Source organism: Homo sapiens, chromosome 13, assembly GCF_000001405.40.
Source record: "Homo sapiens chromosome 13, GRCh38.p14 Primary Assembly".
Taxonomy (NCBI): domain Eukaryota; kingdom Metazoa; phylum Chordata; class Mammalia; order Primates; family Hominidae; genus Homo; species Homo sapiens.
This window is the reverse complement of record NC_000013.11, coordinates 109,612,343-109,630,394: the sequence shown is the minus strand read 5'-3', so window position 1 is coordinate 109,630,394 and position 18,052 is coordinate 109,612,343.

The following is an 18,052-nucleotide window of genomic DNA, read 5'->3' as shown; positions in this document are numbered from 1 at the left end:
CAGAGCAGCTTAAAGCCTACAGATATTTACAACACTCAAAATATATAATTCCTTCTAGGGGAGTAAGATAACCCACGATTTCCCAAAGCCATTAAATATTAATAAGTGGGAGATAGCCTACCCTTTTAAAGCACTCATGGAGATTTCTGCATAGCAGGTGACAGAATTTGAGTTAGTCTCTGACCAGTGAGACCGAAAGTACTTGAAGCAGCAATCTGTACTGGCCCGGTGTTTTCCCCTGTTTGTGCTAAAGGGTTAATCTTTCTATGCTTATATTCTGATGAAGCTATGTTGAAATAAGTGGTACTTAGCTGTTGAACAAGATGGAATGCTAAATATGTTTTATGCCAGATTTAATTGCAACTACAAATGACACCAAGACTCTGTCCCTTGGCATGAAATTGGATGGCAGCTTGGCTGGTCTCATTTTGGTCATTCCTGTGATTGGTGCAGATTGCTGCAAGATTGATTTGACTGGTATTGATCGTGACGAGAGCAAGAGTGAACAGTTTGGCTGGACTAAGTCTGGTTCAGATGTTCAGTACAAACACAGCCATAACGTAGATGTACATTTTAAACTACCAAATTTCAGAAAGGAACAATAGAGGAGAAAAGATTGTATAGAAAATCTATTTATTTAAATTTTCTTCTAGGCAAATTGAGGCATTATAGTGTTGACATTCCAGAGCGTGCAGCCACTCCTTGAGTGATGACCAGGCTACTAGGAACTTTCATTCATTCATTTATGCAATAAGCCCTGATTGTTCCCCCTTGAACATTCCCTCCCCTCCTAAATAAGCTATCAAAGCTGATGTGTGAAACTGTTGGCCCAGCTCCTCGTACTGCCACCCTATTTAATTACAGTGGGTTTCCTTTCATTCGGTCGTCACTGCTCACAACTCAGGTAATTGTCCTCACAGGCAAACTCCTATGTCTGTTCCCATTCATCTCTTCCTTTCCCAGCTCTTGCTCGCTGACATCGGGAACACCTTCCTTTCTCCCCCTGTGATTACGTTTCCCACCGACAATAGAAACTGGGTTCTTGGAACTGAAGAGCTGTGTCTCCAGACTATCATTGCCAGAGAAGCAAAAATTAGACTTGCAGTGGCCTTTCCTTCCCAGGGGAAAGAAGGGCTTCTCAACAGCCTGGGCTTCTATGTCCCTTCACTCAGGTGCTGAGAACACACTAGTTAAGTTACAGAGTTTCTTGGAAAAACCGGTTGGCATCTGTATTAGTTCCTTCTCGTATTGCTCTAATAAAGCTGCCTGAGACTGGGTAATTTATAAAGAAAAGAGGTTTAATTGGCTCACAGTTCCACAGGCTGTACAGGAAGCATGGCTGGGGAGGCCTCAGGAAACTTAAAATCATGGCAAAGGTGAAGGGGAAGCAGGCACCTCCTACATGACTGGAGCAGGAGGAAGAGAGCAAAGGGAAAGGTGCCGCAGACTTTTAAACAACCAGATCTCATGAGAATTCACTCACTATCACGAGAACAGCAAAGGGGAAATCCGCCCCCTTGATAAAATCACCTCCCACCGGGCTCCTCTTGCAATATTGGGGATTGCAATTCAAAAATGAGAATTGGGCAGGGACACAAATCCAAACCATATCAGCATCATCTTGTAAGTGCACAAGTAAAGTAACAGCTTTAGCTTATTCTCTCTCTTTTCCGAAACACACTGAATCCTGATTAGGTAAACATTTCTGCTTTGGCAATTAGGTCATTTGTACTTTATGTCATGGGGTTAAAATGACAACAGCTCTGTAAGAAACCTGTGGACACGTATTATGGTATCATTAGCAGCATTCTCCTGGACACATTTCCTGTGGTCTCAGATATTAAAAATACATAAGGCCTGTGAATCACTCAAGTTCTATATCTGTACTAGACCTCTGGTTTAAATCCATGAGGATATTAACTCTTCACCCTTTTTATAGAATGTTGCTTTTTATTGTAAGGATGTCATTTATTGGGCTTGAAGTTGCTGTCAAACCTTCAGGAATGAGAGCTCTGTGCCAGTGCAATCCGTGTGATTCATGGTAGTCAAATGGTCACAGGCTGAAGAGTCATCTGGAGCATTCCTTGTACCTATGACTCTCCTGCTTATTTATGTTCCTGTTCCCTCACCCCAAATTCTCATAACAAAGAGGAATGGCATCCATGAACCAAAATAGAAGTAGCAGGCACTGAGGCAGTTCTATCAATGGATTTTTGAGGGAAATCATGTGGTTCTGAAATTTGGACCTTGAGGTCGTGCCAGTCCCCAGTGAGCAGCTTTTACTCCTTCAGTTCACTTCCAGCTGTGTGCTGCTACTCTGCTAGGTCTGAGAGAGACAGCAGAGAGAAACCATAAAGGGCACTTGAACGCTTAGAGTGATAAGCTGGAGATTAAATAAACAATGAAAAAAGTGATAACCATAACTAAGGGGGTAAATGTTGCAGTGTGAGCCTATCAGTGAGGTCCTTGAAGGTTCAGAAAATGCCCTCCTAAGGAAGGGACTTTAAAGTGAAGACTTGAGGGTGAGAAGGAGTTGGCTGAGTTAAGAGGTGGAGAGCTGGCTGAGAGAGCACTCTGGGCAGAAAGACGCAGAGCACATACATCTCAGATCTGAAACTGTATGAGGTTCAGTTTCAAGAAAGTTAAAAAAAAAAATACAGTACCACTTAAAGCACAGATAGGAATGAAAAAAAGAGTGACATGAGATCATAGAATAGAAGAGTCAGGCACAAGATCATGGAAGAACTTGTAAGAACCAGACTAAGGATGTCAGATTTTAATCACATTGGAAAGCTACTGAAGAGTTTTAAGTAAGACATATTTGTATTTCAGGAAGGTAACTACAACCTGGAAAATGGACTGTAGGAATCACAGTGAACTCAGGCAGACCCATGCTGCCACAATCAATGAGGAAGGTGTGGTCTAGCCTGCGACAGAGACACTGACTAAAGAACGTGGTAGACTTGTGTTATCATGCTGTGCACAGTTGAAGTTGTGAGCATGAATTTCTTGTGGTCTGATACACGTGGTTGTGAGACGTTCTCTAGCATCACTCAATATCTTATACAGATGCAAATCAGATGGAAATTTAGACTCATCCCACCCCCACCGCATCATTTTCTAGTTGGATTGATGAGTAGAAATTGGTTAGGATATTGGGAAGAAGGCAACTGAAATTGCTGACAAGAGAGTATAAGCTGAAAAGGTGGGGAAGTGAAGAGGGAGAGAGATGATGGGGAGAGGAAGAATAGAAGGTAACTGTACTAGAAGAATGGTTTTTGTGGCAGAGCAGCTTCAGGAGCTAACAAGTGGAAAATGAAGTAGAGATGAAGAGGTAAAGAAACGAGTGGTCAAGATACTGACAGTCTGTCTGCACAGTCACAGAATTCCTGCAGACTGATGGCAAGATTAGTTAGTGTGGAGGATTCTGACTCAGCAAAATCTCCAGTCAATGAGCAGGATTGATTAGCAAAATGGCAGGAAGAAAGCTGCAGAGTTTGGGTATGCTGCTATGGTTACTATGAGCCTGGCATTATTCTGGGGGGCTTCACATACAGCTCAAGACAAGGCAGCTGATGCCCGGCTTGCATGGAGTTTCCATTCTTGAGGGGAAAGGAGGACGGTTGCTTGCCATGCAGATAAATAAATGGAGCGGCGGGAGGGCAGAAAGCATGCAGAGAAGCTAAATATGGTGACAGGAGAGCCAGTGACTTAAGAGTTACCATTTAAGCTGAAATCTAAATGACCAGATGGAGTTGGCCACGTTGAGTTTTGCATTGCTCTAGGTAGTGTGAGGCTCTTACTCAGAGACACTGTCAGTCTCCTTACAGGCTCAGCTGTCTTCCTCAAACAGCAGGAAGCTTGGCTTTCTGACAGTGTTCTCTCTGACTTAAGGATTTCCCTGACAAGAATTGCCCTTGTTGGCCCAAGGTGTTTCGTGGGCAGATGATCCCTCTTGCCAGGCTGGATTTCACGTTTGAGTGGAAGAACAGAGATGGTGACCATCCCTCTTTGGGTATTTGTCCTTCACTAAAATGGTATAGAGTAATAGGCTTAAAATAAAACCAGCAATGGCAACCTGCCTTTGTAGACAGATGTACCACTTGCAAATATTTAAAAAGACCCTTTTAGAAAGTTTTTTAAAAAGTGAAAATGTAGATTTCATTTATTATCCCCTTAAGAATTATCTTTCTAAAAATAAGCCTAACTTTGTGACATCCCTATTGATTCCAGGACAAGTCCCAGCCCCATGGCATGACATCTAAAAGCCTCCAGGTTGGTCCTATAAATCTTTCCAACCACTCCTACCAGGCACCTACACCCCAGGCATCCAAATGCTTATCAGTGATAACACAGCTACAATCTATGATTCAAGAAAACTGTCCCCCTGCCTGGAGTCCACACCCCTCCTCTTTCTGTCTAGTGAATGGAACTCATCCTTCAAAATCAACCCAAGCATCCTCACTAGACCTCCTCAGACCTTTCAGCAGTTAGTGCTTGCTCACTAGTCTGCTCTGCATGCACAATTCTGAGTTATAATTTGTGCTGCACTATGGGACCAAGACCACTCTTAGAGTGAAGTATGTGAAACTAACTCTTTGAAGATGAAAAAAATCAGATATTAGTAATTTCATATATTAATACTTCAACCTAGTGGTTGTTTCTTATTGTCTATTTTTCACCTTAATAGAAATGGAATCCCTAATTTTCATCTGAGCCAGTGGCTACCCATTAGAAAGACTATATTTTGTAAGTGTAGCCATAAGAATAAATTCTGGCCAATGAGATATAAGCACATGCATTGACCAGCAGCTTCTAAGAATCTTACAAGACAGCTCATGCATATCCTTTCATATTTCTTCATAGTCCTGACTGAATGCAGTAGCTCACACCTATAATCCCAGCACTTTGGGAGGCCCAGGCAGGAGGATCGCTTGAGTCCAGGAGTTTGAGACCAGTCCTGGTAACATAGCAAGACCTCCATCTCTACAAAATAGAAGAACTAGCTGTGCCTGTAGTCCCAGTTACTCTGGAAGGAGGCTGAGGTGGGAGGATTGCTTGAGCCTGAGAGGTTGAGTGAGGCTGCAGTGAGCCATGGTTGCCCACTGCACTCCAGCCTGGGCAACAGATCAAGGCTTTGTCTCAAAAATTTTTTTCTTCATAGTCCTTCCTCCATCCTACTGCCTGGAATGCACTTATAATCACCAGAGCTCTGGCAGCTTTTTTAGGACATGAAGTTAAAGGGATACACCCTAGAAATTATGGAGTAGAACTAGAAGTAATGTGAGTTTCTAAGGTCTTTGGTGGTAAAGCCACCATATCAGCCTTGGACAAATAGAGAATTTCTATTTAATAAGCCACATTATTTGCAATGGAACCTACTCCTAACTGATGTATAATGAATTTTAATTATTTCTGTGTATTTTGCTTTGTCACTGGACTGTGAGTTCTTCAATGGCAGGGGATACATTTTTAAATCTCTGTTCCATCAAGCGTCAGGTAGCAAGTCCTGGGCATGGCACATGCTGTATACTCAAAAATGTTTGTAATATAAAACACTTCATTGTCATTTTGAACAGAGTGAGTCAAGTACAGATTATACAAATAAAGGCAGCTTTTAAATAGTATAAAAATAGACAAACTCTCTCAAAGAATACCAGTAAATGAATGGGAAAATAGATCAAAAGTATGGTCCATAAGCATTTTTCGCACAAGATAATGTCAATGCATAACGAAGCATGACAATAGGTATTTTATATTGGTGGGAAAAACTCACCTAAGGCTCTTATTTTGAGACTCAAAGGATTAAGGCCAATAAATAATAAACAAAGTAATGATCAATAAACCCTTCTGGAGAAAAATGGAGGGAAAAAAGCAATGATAGTTGGCGATACATGTAACTTCTTCCGGTAATTGACTTTGATGGGCCTAAACCTAAGTATAAACTGCAGACTTAGCTTCAATGGGAATCGATAATGTCTGAGCTTATGTAACTCCAGCAACCATCATCTCCAAAACTGAGAAGGTTAGAAACTCTAAATCTTCCCTTTGTAAATTATGGCTTTGTGTTTAACTGCCAGGAACATTATAAACTCTGCAAATAACAGACCATAAAATTATTATAAATCAGAAATCAGGCACACAGCTTCTCAATAACCATATATTATCGGATATCGCAGGCTGCACCCGATTCAATGCAGTCCACTAGGCATAGGCTTAATAATGAAATTATAGCAACTGCATTTTCACTTGATGTGAAAAGTTTATTAGTACAACGAAAACTATCAAAATAATCAATTTATAAATCTAAAGAAACCATTAGGGTAAAGGAGCCCTAGCAAATATTAGGGTCAATGTCTAAATCAATAACATTGTACATAACTAGTGACAAGTCAGATGCACAGTAGAGCATCAGTTTTGCTGCTGCAAATAAAATCAGTAGCAATCAAATATAATTTAGTATCACAAAAGACATGTGGCAGGGCTAATAGATCTAGTTCCCCTCCTCTGATCAAGGAAGAAGCAGGAGCTCAATCATTATTCCAGTCACTGGAAAACAACCTGCTAAAGAAAGTATGTTTTTGCTACATAAGAGAGAGAAATGCAAAGATGGCTGTGGCAGTGTAGCATTACAGAAATGGAAATTGATGGGGGCAAGAGAACCTGAGATTCTAATTTGGTCCTTCTTCTTCCTAGCTGGCTGACCTTGGACAAACCATTTGACTTCTCTTGGGGTTAGTGTTTTCCTGTGTGAAATAAGGGAGTAATGGTTTCAGAGAAGAGAAAATTAAATGAGTTGTAAAATGTTTTAGGAGGCAGCACTTCACCTGGCTAGGAGCCATGTGCAGGATTTGGAATTGTAGTGAGAGGGCTGGATGTAGGGCAACTCAGAGCTCAAGTAGTGTCTGGAAAGTAGGAATAAGCACCTGTTTTAGAGAACAGGAAGGAAACCAAACTGGCCAAGTAACCCGTTCAAACTCCAGTGCAATAGCCATTAACATTTCAATGAGAAGATGGGCCAGTGTGCTGGATCCCTCTTGGGCACCATGGTGAAGGCCTCCCTTTCTTCCTACTCCTTCAGCAGCCTAATCTGCACAATCTTCAGGTAGCTTTGTAAAGCTTCCAACTAACAGCACCCCATCTGGGGCCCACACCATTTGTTTCCAAGAGATACTGTCACAAATGACCACAAACTGGGTGGCTTAAAACAACAGAAATTTATATTCTTGCAATTCTGGAGCCCAGAACTCTGAAAATCAAGATGTCAACAGGGCCATGTCTCTCTGAAGGCTCTAGGGAAGAATCGAATTCTCCCTTGCCTCTTGCTAGCTCCTGGTGTCTCCTGGCATTCCCCAGCTTTCCCAGCTTGTTGGAGCAGTGGTCCCAACCTTTTTGGCACCAGGGACTGGTTTCATGGAAGACAATTTTTCCATGAATAGGGGAGGGGAGGGGAGTGGGGGGGAGTCGCATGGTTGGGGGTTGGTGGGGAGATGCTTTGGTGATGATACTGTTTCCCCTCAGATTGTCAGGCATTAGTTCAATTCTCATAAGGAGCACACAACCTAGATCCCTGGCATGCACAGTTCACAATAGGGTTCATGATCCTATGAGAATCTAATGCCCGCTGATCTGACTGGAGGCAGAGCTCAGGTGGTCATGCTTGCTCACCCACAGCTCACCTACTTCTGTGCAGCCCAGCTTCTAACAGACCACAGACCACTACTGGTCTGTGGCCTGGGGGTTGGGGACCCCTGTTGTAAAGGCATCACTCCAATCTCTGTGTTCATTTTCACATGGTCTTCCCTCCTTGTGTCTCTTGGTGTCCCCTCTTCTTCTTATAGAGACACCTGGATTTAGGCCCACCTTTATCCAGTATGAGCGCATCTTAATTTACCCAATTACATCTGCAAAGACTTTATTTCCAAGTAAGTTCATATTCTGAGGTTCTGGATGGACACAAATTCTGGAAACATGGTATTCAACCTATTATGCCATGCTTTTTTTTTTTTTTTTTTTTTTTTGGTTTGTTTTCTGCCCAGTGGCTTCTCTGACACTGCATCGGATACCTGCAGAATCCAGGTAGACACGTGTGAAAGCTGGACATGACCTCTGAGGGGCTGGGCATTTGGAGCTTGCTCCTTAGGCACTGGCAGAGCTGTCAGATTGGCAAAGTCATCAGAAATTGAGCAGCAGGTGGCACTGGGCTTCCCTCCGTGTTCCTTCCTTCTTCCTGGAATCTTAGATCTTTAGGTCCTGGCTGCATTGGTTGCTCTGGAATGCCTTGACATTGGTATTCTTTGGAACTGTATTCAGCTTTTATAGTTGTTCTTGGAAGGATTGTCCTAATACAGGCTACTTGTCGTAGCTGGGAGCAGAAGCCTGATGTCTTTGCAATCTGTCCTTCCTTCCGTATGTTTTACTTTTAGAGAGAGACAAACAAGTACTTCATTAAATTTATATATACTACACCTCTCCCCAATTACCATAATTTTAGAACTATTTCCAATCTATAAAAATCTGATAAAGTAGTTACCGGTAACTTACTTCATATCACCATTCTCACAATCTGTTCTGTGGAGCTGTTAATGTAGGTATTGTGTCCTCATTTCAAACATGGGTAAATTATGATGCAAAAAGTTAAATTATTGTTGCAGGGACTGTCACTAATCAATGGAAGAGCAAATCCACATATCCATGCTTCCTAGCTTCAATACAGTGCTGCGGGGAAGATTTATTAGATGACATTATTGGGTGGCAAAATAAAAACTAAAAATTAAGATGGATTACAATACTGGTTTTATGCAAAATAACTTATGGATACATTTTTCTCCTGTAGTTCTGTACCTGTAAGTTTCCATTGTGTTTAGGACACATCTAACTAATTAAACATTATTTAGTTAACGTTCAGGAGATAGTGCTTCCGTTGGAAATAATGATTTATTCCTCCCCATAATTAAATTGGTTTTTGAGCACTTTTCTCATTATGGTCTAGGTAACCCAATATCTCCAGGGAAATGGTTCCATTTTGAGCCTACATTTTATGTGATTTTGGTAAATGTAACTCACTGTAAATTGCAAGTCAGCCATTTAACCTTTTTGCCTCAGTTATTCAATTTACAAAAGAGTGGTAGTGAGGGATTTGTTAAAAAGAAAGGAGAGAAGAGAGGAGGAAGAGAGGTGGGGAAATAAACCAAATATTTGATTTCATAGGAACGTGTGAGGAAATTAGCATGTTGAATGTATGAAAACACTATATATGTGTATAATGTTACCATGTGAAAATATTTACGTGAACTAACATTATGTTAAAAGTGGTATGTACTCATAATATGACTGAACTTTAAAGATAGGGGAAAATATAATTGATAATGATTTTCTTGTGCAATCAGAAAGTAATAGTAATATTCAAAACGGCATGGCTCTTACAGTTTATAAATACTATGCAGAAGTCCTTTCTCAGTCTCCTCAGTGGAAAGACCATTGGAAAAGGGGGGATGGCAAGATGAAGTACAAGTTTTTAGACTTGTACTTCAAACAGTTACTTGTAACTTAAAACAGTTACTTTTCTCTTTGAATAATTTCTTTAGCTATTCTCCCGTGACTGTGGAAACTACCTTTTTTCTAGCACTTCCCAAAATGTGACACAGCGTATGGCTTGCAAGGTGATTTTAGGTGCTTTTAGGGTTATTGGTTATGCTTTTATTTATATTGCTACCCTCTACTTATGGCAAGTGGTAATGCCATATGGCAATATAGCAATGAATGTGGAGGCTCCATTTAAATCAACCTTAAGTAAAACATTACAAATATAAAGAAATATATTGGCTGGGTGCTGTGGCTCACACCTGTAATCCCAGCACTTTGGGAGGCCGAGGCGGGCAGATCACGAGGTCAGGAGATTGAGATCATCCTGGCTAACATGGTGAAACCCCATCTCTAGTAAAAATACAAAAAAATTAGCCGGACGTGCTGGTGGGCACCTGTAGTCCCAGCCACTCGGTAGTCTGAGGCAGGAGAATCGCTTGAACCTGCGAAACAGGTTGCTGTGAGCTGAGATCGTGCCATTGCACTCCGGCCTGGGTGACAAGAGAGAAACTCAGAAAAATATAGAAAAAGAAATATATTAAGTAGGCCAAGTGCGGTGGCTCACACCTGTAATCCCAGCACTTTGGGAGGCCCAGGCGTGTGGATCACCAGAGGCCAGGAGGTTGAGATCAGCCTGGCCAACATGGCGAAACCTTGTCTCTACTAAAAATACAAAAATTAGCCAGGCATGGTGGCAGGCACCTGTAATCCCAGCCACTTGGAAGTCTGAGGCAGGAGAATCGCTTGAACCTGGGAAACAGAGGTTGCTATGAGCTGAGATTGTGCCATTGCACTCCAGCCTGGGTGACAAGAGAGAAACTCTGTCTCAAAAAAAAAAAAAAAAAAAGAAAAGAAATATATTAAGTAAACAATAGTATCAATGCTGTGTGGATATGGCAAAAATTATGTAGCCCTACTCAGATGATACAGCTGGGGAAGCATCGTTTTACCCCATTCCTGAGTGAGGCTCTACAGCATGGCAAACTGATTAAAAAGAAACTATGGACATTTTCAATATGAACAGTCTAAGAAGGAGCTGCACCCACTGCATTATGGGTTCAGTAGCCTGGAAATTCAGGGGGGCATCTAGAACTGGTTCTGGTGCCTTAGAAAAGAGATTTTAATCTGTAATTCTTATTGCAAAGATTCTACAGTGACTTTCTACAAACTTGAAAAGAAATACAAAGAGGAAACATGAAATGCAGGGTAAGTGACACAATTTAAAGTGTTTTTTTTTTTTAAGGATTTTTCTTTTGGTTTAGAAAATCGTATCTTTTGCTTATATATTAGGCGAGCTTGTTTTCAACTCTTTGATTTTAGTGTGGTAATTTTTACTTTGTGCCATCTGTTTCTTAAGATTCAACAGAAGATGAGCAGGTAGAAGAAAGAGAAGAATGGTGGCGAGTTTTGGACATGAGGCTTCTTCATAGTAGAGCATGGGTGATATGGTTTGGCTCTGTGTCCCCACCCAAATCTCATGTTGAATTGTAATAATTCCCACATGTCATGGGGAGGACCAGGTGGGAGGTAATTCAATCATGGGGGTGGCTTTTTCCCATGCTGTTCTTGTGATAGTGAATAAGTCTCATGAGATCTGATGGTTTTATAAAGGGCAGTTCCCCTGCACATTTTCTATCTTGCCTGCCTCCATGTAAGATGTGCCTTTGCGCCTCCTTCACTTTCTGCCATGATTGTGAGGCCTCCCCAGCCATGTGAAACTGTGAGTCCATTAAACTTCTTTTTCTTTGTAAATTACCCAATCTTGGGTATGTCTTTATTAGCAGTGTGAGAACAGACTAATACAGTGGGTTAAGTGCTGGAGACTGGCATAGGAAGGGGTGCAGTTTGGTGATGTTGGGGGATAACTAAGGGGTGTGACACAAATGGGAAAGTGGTGAATGCATTGAAGTGAGCTAAACATGAGAATAGAAACTCCAAAATCTAACTTGTTAAGCCACAGGCTCGTAGAAAGTCCCTAGTCTTGGTGTCCCATCTTTACTGGGGTACAGGTTAGGTGGCCCAAACATACAGGATGAGTTGAATAACTAAAGCATATAATCAGATAACTCTATGGAAGAAAACCCAAACCATGATCCATTTTGGTTGTAACATTCTTCTAAAGAACTGACTGGGAACTTAATTTATACATGTACTTAAACATTCATTAGTGACCTCCTGTATAGATGACATCAAGGTCTTTCTTATTTTTTCTTTCAATCTGTGCCTTTGTGCACGTTTTTCTTCTCAATAGACTTTTGTTTCTCTGTGGTCACCTTTTGCCCACATTCCTCTGTAACCCCAAAGGAAAAGGTGATAATGTTTTATTTACATTTTGATTTTTTAAAGTCCATCTAATTTTATCGAAGGTACACATAGTTCTGTAGTGTATTTCTCTTTTGAAATTTATTTTTTGCTGCTTGTCTTACTATAGTGGAGAGACAAATAATATGTTGGGTTTTGAATTTATTTTTTTCGATTTATTTTCTCAAAAGTGCTGTTTCCTCACTAATAGCCAATTAGCCAGGTTGATTTATTGATTTTGTATATTGAATTATGGAATGTGCTAGTCACTGAGCTATAAAATAAACATATAAAATAAATGAGAACAATGAAAAAGTTTATGCTTTTTATGTGCGCAAATTGGTCTTGGAGACAGGGTTAACATGCACTGAGTGACTAGGAAAGATTGCAAATCATTATGTAATCCACCACCACACTGTGTGAGGAGATTTCAGGACTGTAGAAACTGAGAAAAAATTAAAATCTTCAATATTTTATTAGATTGGAATTTGGAGTGGCAGGAATGGAGAAATGGGCATTTAAAATGAGAGCATTTGACTCCGTAAATACTAGGAATGAGAGAATAAGAAAGCGGGCAAAAGAATCTAAAAAATAAAGTGGGTTTGAGAAAGATCATGGTGTTTGACTGTGACCTTAAAAGGTCGTCCTTAAATGCTCGTCTGTGAAAGATCTTCCTGAGGAGACAGGTAGAGGGAATGTGATTAGAAGAGGTGGCAGCCGGCAGGCAGTTCGAGGGGTTCCTCCCTGCCTGGGTGAAATGTTAGATTTGCCTTGTGAACAGCTAAATGAAACTTTATTATCTTATCAGTATTTTCTGATATTAAAAGGAATGCCTATTGTAGAAAATTTGGAAAACACAGAAAAGCACAATGGAACACAGAAGTCACTTGTAAACTTGTCACCAAGGAAGATGCAGTAGAACAGTTTCACTGTTTTTTTAATCATGTCTTTTTTTGTTTGTTTGCATATAGATACATATAGTTTTGGCATAAAAGTAGAATTATTCTCCATATACTTTTAATATCCTGATTTTTAAAATTAATATTATCCCATAATTACCATTAAGCCACTATTCTTGGAAACGTGTTGACTAGTATTCATGTGTTCCATAATATTTAACTGTTCTTATATTCTTGGAGTAAATTTTACTTGATGATAATGTAGTATTCATTGACTATGCTCCTGGATTAAATCTGCAAATTAAAAAAATCTCTATTGATAAGGGAAGTTGGCCAGTAGTTTCTCCTTTTTATGTCTATAATTGTTTATTTATTTATTTATTTTGAGACAGAGTCTTGCTCTGTCACCCAGGCTGGAGTGCAGTGGTGCCATCATAGCTCACTGCAATTTCTAACTCCTCGGCTCAAGTGATCCTCCTGCTTTGGCCTCGCAAAGTGCTCAGACTACAGGTGTGAGCCATCACCGTGCCTGGCCATGAGTACAATTTTAAGAAATGTAACAAGATGATACAAGAGTCACTGAATTGATTAAGACGATTTTCATATTGCTATGCTGTGGAAAAGTTGAATACAAATTAGGCAAATATTGCCAGTATTGGGCCTTCTGGTTCCGGCATCATGTTTGGCAACATTAACATAGAACATGCCTTCTACAAATACCTAGATATGCTAAGTAAAAATACAAGCACAGAAATTTAATGCATTGCTAAGCTCCAGGAGACAAAGGGAACCTTGAAGATGCCGGAATGAAAGCCAGCACTGAGAAGACATAGCAGTAAGTAGGTGAGCCGGTGCTACAGAAGGTAGTTAATGGAGCCAGAGATGGCCTAGGCATTGGCGCTAGTGGAAATTCAAGGGTTGGAGGTTAAAGTGTCCCTACAGGGTTGGGGCTTGAAATTGTTTGCTTTGCATAAACCTGGGGACTTGGAATATCAATACCCCTGTGAAACGGGCAGTATAAACCCACATTCTCTGCATTTCAGGTTCAAATTATATATCCAAAGGAATAACAGAATTATTTCTGTTAACAGTAACAATATTAGGAGGATGATAATAGAATATCTTCAATGTTCTGGGAAAAAAATACTTTAGAATTCTGATCCAGAAAGATATCTTAAAATAATAAAGACAAAATAAATTTATTTTTAGAAAAACAAATGGTGAGAAAATTTGAGGCCAAAATACCCAAATTAAGAAAAATTCTAAAAAAAAATTACTTTAAGCAGAAAGAAAGGTATACCAGATAGAATATCTGAGATTTAGGAAAAGATAAAATTCTTGTGACTCATTTTGGACATGATGCCCCAAGTGGAAAATTCCACAGCTGACTTCATGTGACAAGTTGCAGTCAAAATGCAGACATTCCAGTTTATTCAGCATCCCCACGGGAAAGTAAAAAATGATCTTAGCCCCTTTCAGCTGTGTAATATCTTTTCCACACAAGCCCAGATTTCCCCACACTAGCAGCCCGCAAAGGGTAAGAAACTGTCATGTGTACAGGCTGGACTCGCCAGTGACAGGTTCCCCATTGCACGCCATGTGGTGCCGAGACCTACGTGCATTACCCACTGTGGGTTTATTTTTTTTTATTTTTATTTATTTTTTATTTTTTGCTTAGTTTCTACTCTGTGGTGTGAAGGTGGTGTTAAATATCTGAAGCTGGAAGCCATCATTCTCAGCAAACTAAACACAGGAACAGAAAACCAAACACCGCATGTTCTCACTCATAAGTGGGTGTTGAACAGTGAGACCACATGGACATAGGGAGAAGAACATCATACACCGGGGCCTGTTGGGGTGTGGGAGGCAAGGGGAGGGAGAGCATTAGGACAAATACCTAATGCATGCAGGGTTTAAAACCTAGACGATGGGTTGATAGGTGCAGCAAACCACCATGGCAGATGTATACCTATGTAACAAACCCTTACGTTCTGCACATGTATACTATAACTTAAATAAAATAAAAGGCCTGTAGATACCCCTATGGGTAACAGTGACTAAACAAAGAGGAAGCACTTATGTTTGTCTCTAGCACAGAAAGTCAAGCTGCTGGAGAAACTGCACAGCAGTGCCAGTGTGAAACATCTTACAGAAGAGCGTGGTGTGGAAATGACCATACAGGACTTGCCGAAACAGAAGGATAAACTGTTGAAGTTCTATGCTGAAAGCGGTAAACAGAAGTTAATGAAAACTTTTTAAAAAATACTGTGTAAAGCTAAAAATGAAGATCTCAATTGTGTATTAGATGATTGCATCTGTCGGCATGGCAGTGAACACATGCCACTTAATGATATTCTGATTATGAAACAAGCGAGGTTCTATCATGATGAACTGAAAATTGAAGGGAACTGTGAACACTGAACAGGCTGGTTGCAGACATTTAAGAAAAGACATGATATTTGATTTTTACAGCTTTGTGGTGATAAATCATCTGATCATGAAGCAGTGAAGAAATCGTTGATGAGTTTGCGAAGGTCATTGCTGATAAAAATCTGACACCATAAAAAGTCTATAATGCTGAGGAAACATCACTGTTTTGACATTATTGCCCCAGAAAGACACCGACTACAGGTGGCAAGATGACCCCTGGTCTAAGGATGCCAAGGACAGAATAACTGTGCTGGGGTGCACTAATGCAGCAGGCAGGCATTAAGTGTAAACTTGCCTGGTAGGCAAAGCTTGCATCCTCTCTGTTTTCAAGAAGGGAATTTCTTATCCATCAATTATTATGCTAACAAAAAGGCATAGGTCGCCAGGGATATATTTTATGATTGGTTCCACAAACATTTCATACCAGTGGCTCATGCTCATGCAGGGAAGCTAGACTGTATCACAACCGCAAGACTGACTTTCCTAGACAACTGTTCTGCTCATGCCCCAGCTGAAATTCTCATCAAAAATAATGTTTGTGCCATGGACTTTCCTTCAAATGTGACTTTATTAATTCAGCCATGTGACTAGGATATCCTGAGATTAATGAAGAGTAAACATGAAATGCTATCTTGAGCAGCATGCCAGCAGCAGTGAACAGAGGTGTAGGTGCGGAAGGTTTTCACAAGGAGTTTAGCATGAAGGATGCCCAATATGCTGTTGCCAATGGCTGGAACACACTGACTAAAGACGCAGTGGTGCCGCGATTATGTTCAGTGATGATGATGAATAAGGTGGTGACTTTGTAGGATTCTGTCTTTTGATCTCCTTACATATGCAAAAAATATGCTTTCAGAGTCCATCAGTAACGTGGGAGAAGTGAATATCAAAAAAGTTTTTAACATCAATAGTAAGGCTCCAGTTGTTCATTGTTTGACAGCTCCTGAAATAGCCAAAATGGTTCTGAATCCAGGTGGTTATGATCATGGTGATGATGAAGATGTTGTTGTCAACACTGCAGAAGCAATGCCTACAGATGACATGGTGAAAGTGTGTCATGGTCTCACTGAAGGAACAGAGCAGCATGCATTCACAGCAGAGTAAGACATCATGTTAGCTTATAAAATCAAAAAGAGATGTTGGAGACACAGAACATTGTTAATGAGGCAGATGACTCTGGTGGAAACACTTTGAAAAGCCACCCAGTAGAATGCCTCCTCATCCCTAGAGGACCCGCTTTCTGGTCCTTTAACTGCTTCTGAGATTTCTTCTGCTCTAAAAAAATAAAACACAATGTACAGTAACCTTTTAATCAAAACACAGCATTGTAGATGGAGGCTGGGAGCTGCGTTGTTTGTTGCTGCCGTTGTCTGACAGCTGATGCAGGTGTTCCAGGGATGCTAATGTGCTGGCTAGCTACCAAGAACACTTATTTTTTTCACTGTATTAATGGCATATCGTATTTTTTACTGTTAAATACTTACGTGAGAATAAGTGTAAGAAAATGGTTGCTTATCTGTAGCATGTAGCATGTAAATTTAGTCAGGAATAATGGTGATGCCAAATAACCACAGATTGTCCACAGTGGGGGAGGGGGTGGGTGAGGTGGACACCTTTGTGCTGGTTCACGGTACACAAAGTTTGTTTATGTACAAAATTCTTAAAAATGATGTATAAAATTACCTTCAGGCTATGTGTGTAAGGTGTGTATGAAACACAAATGAATTTATATTTGGACTTCATTCTCATTCCCAAGATGACTCATTATGTATATGCAAATATTCCAAAATCCAAAGCACTTCTGGTCCCAAGCACTTTGCACAAGGGACGCTCAACCTGTATTACTAAAGTGAATGAAGACATGCTGTAAAGAAGATATTTGTAAAATAGCTCATCAACAAAACACTCATGCCCGAACATATTAATCCATAATAAACAAAACTGGTGATCCAATAGACAAATGGTCAGAAATCTGAAGAATCACCTCAAAAACACATACCTGAATGGCCAGCAAACATATTCAAATAGGCTTGACCTTATAATCAATAAGATAAGTGCAAATTAAAACCAAAAATGAGAAGCAGTTAGCCACAAAACTAGCAAAAAATATAAAAAAGAAAAAGAAGAGAAGTCAGAGGCAACACTGTGAAGGAAGATATGGGGCAAAGGGGTCTCTGACACAACGTTGATGGGAATGTTAAACCTACTCTGGAAAATAGTTTGGCATTATCTAACATATTTGAAGATGTTCAAATCTTTTGACAAAGCAGTTCTACTCTTAAATATATATTCAGAAAAGCAATTGCTTTTGTGCATGAGAATACACATTTTTAAAAAACTGTACAAAGCAGTATTTTTTTATAAAAGCAAATTTGAAAATAACTTAGATGTCCACCAAAGAAAACAGATATAGTAAATTTGTCTGGACATGTGTTACGGAATTCTAGCCAACAGTGAAAATGAAAAACTATAAGTGTTTTCAACAAAATGGATCAACTTCACAAAAATAATTTGGGGTGGGGGCAACATCACAAAAGAACATGTTATGGACTGAACGATGTCCTCCCATCCTCCCAAAGTTCATATGTTGAAGCTGTAACCCCTCAAGGGGTTGACAGCAGTCCTCCCTTATCCACAGTTTTGCTTTCTGTGGTTTCAGTTACCTGGAGTCAACCAGGATCCAAAAATAGGTGAGTCAGAACAATAAGATGAGAGAGAGAGAGAGACAGAGGGAGAGAGAGCACATACACATACCTTTTACTGCAGTGTATTGCTATGATTATTGTATTATTGTAAATTTCTTACTGTACCTAATTTATAAATTAAACTTTATGATA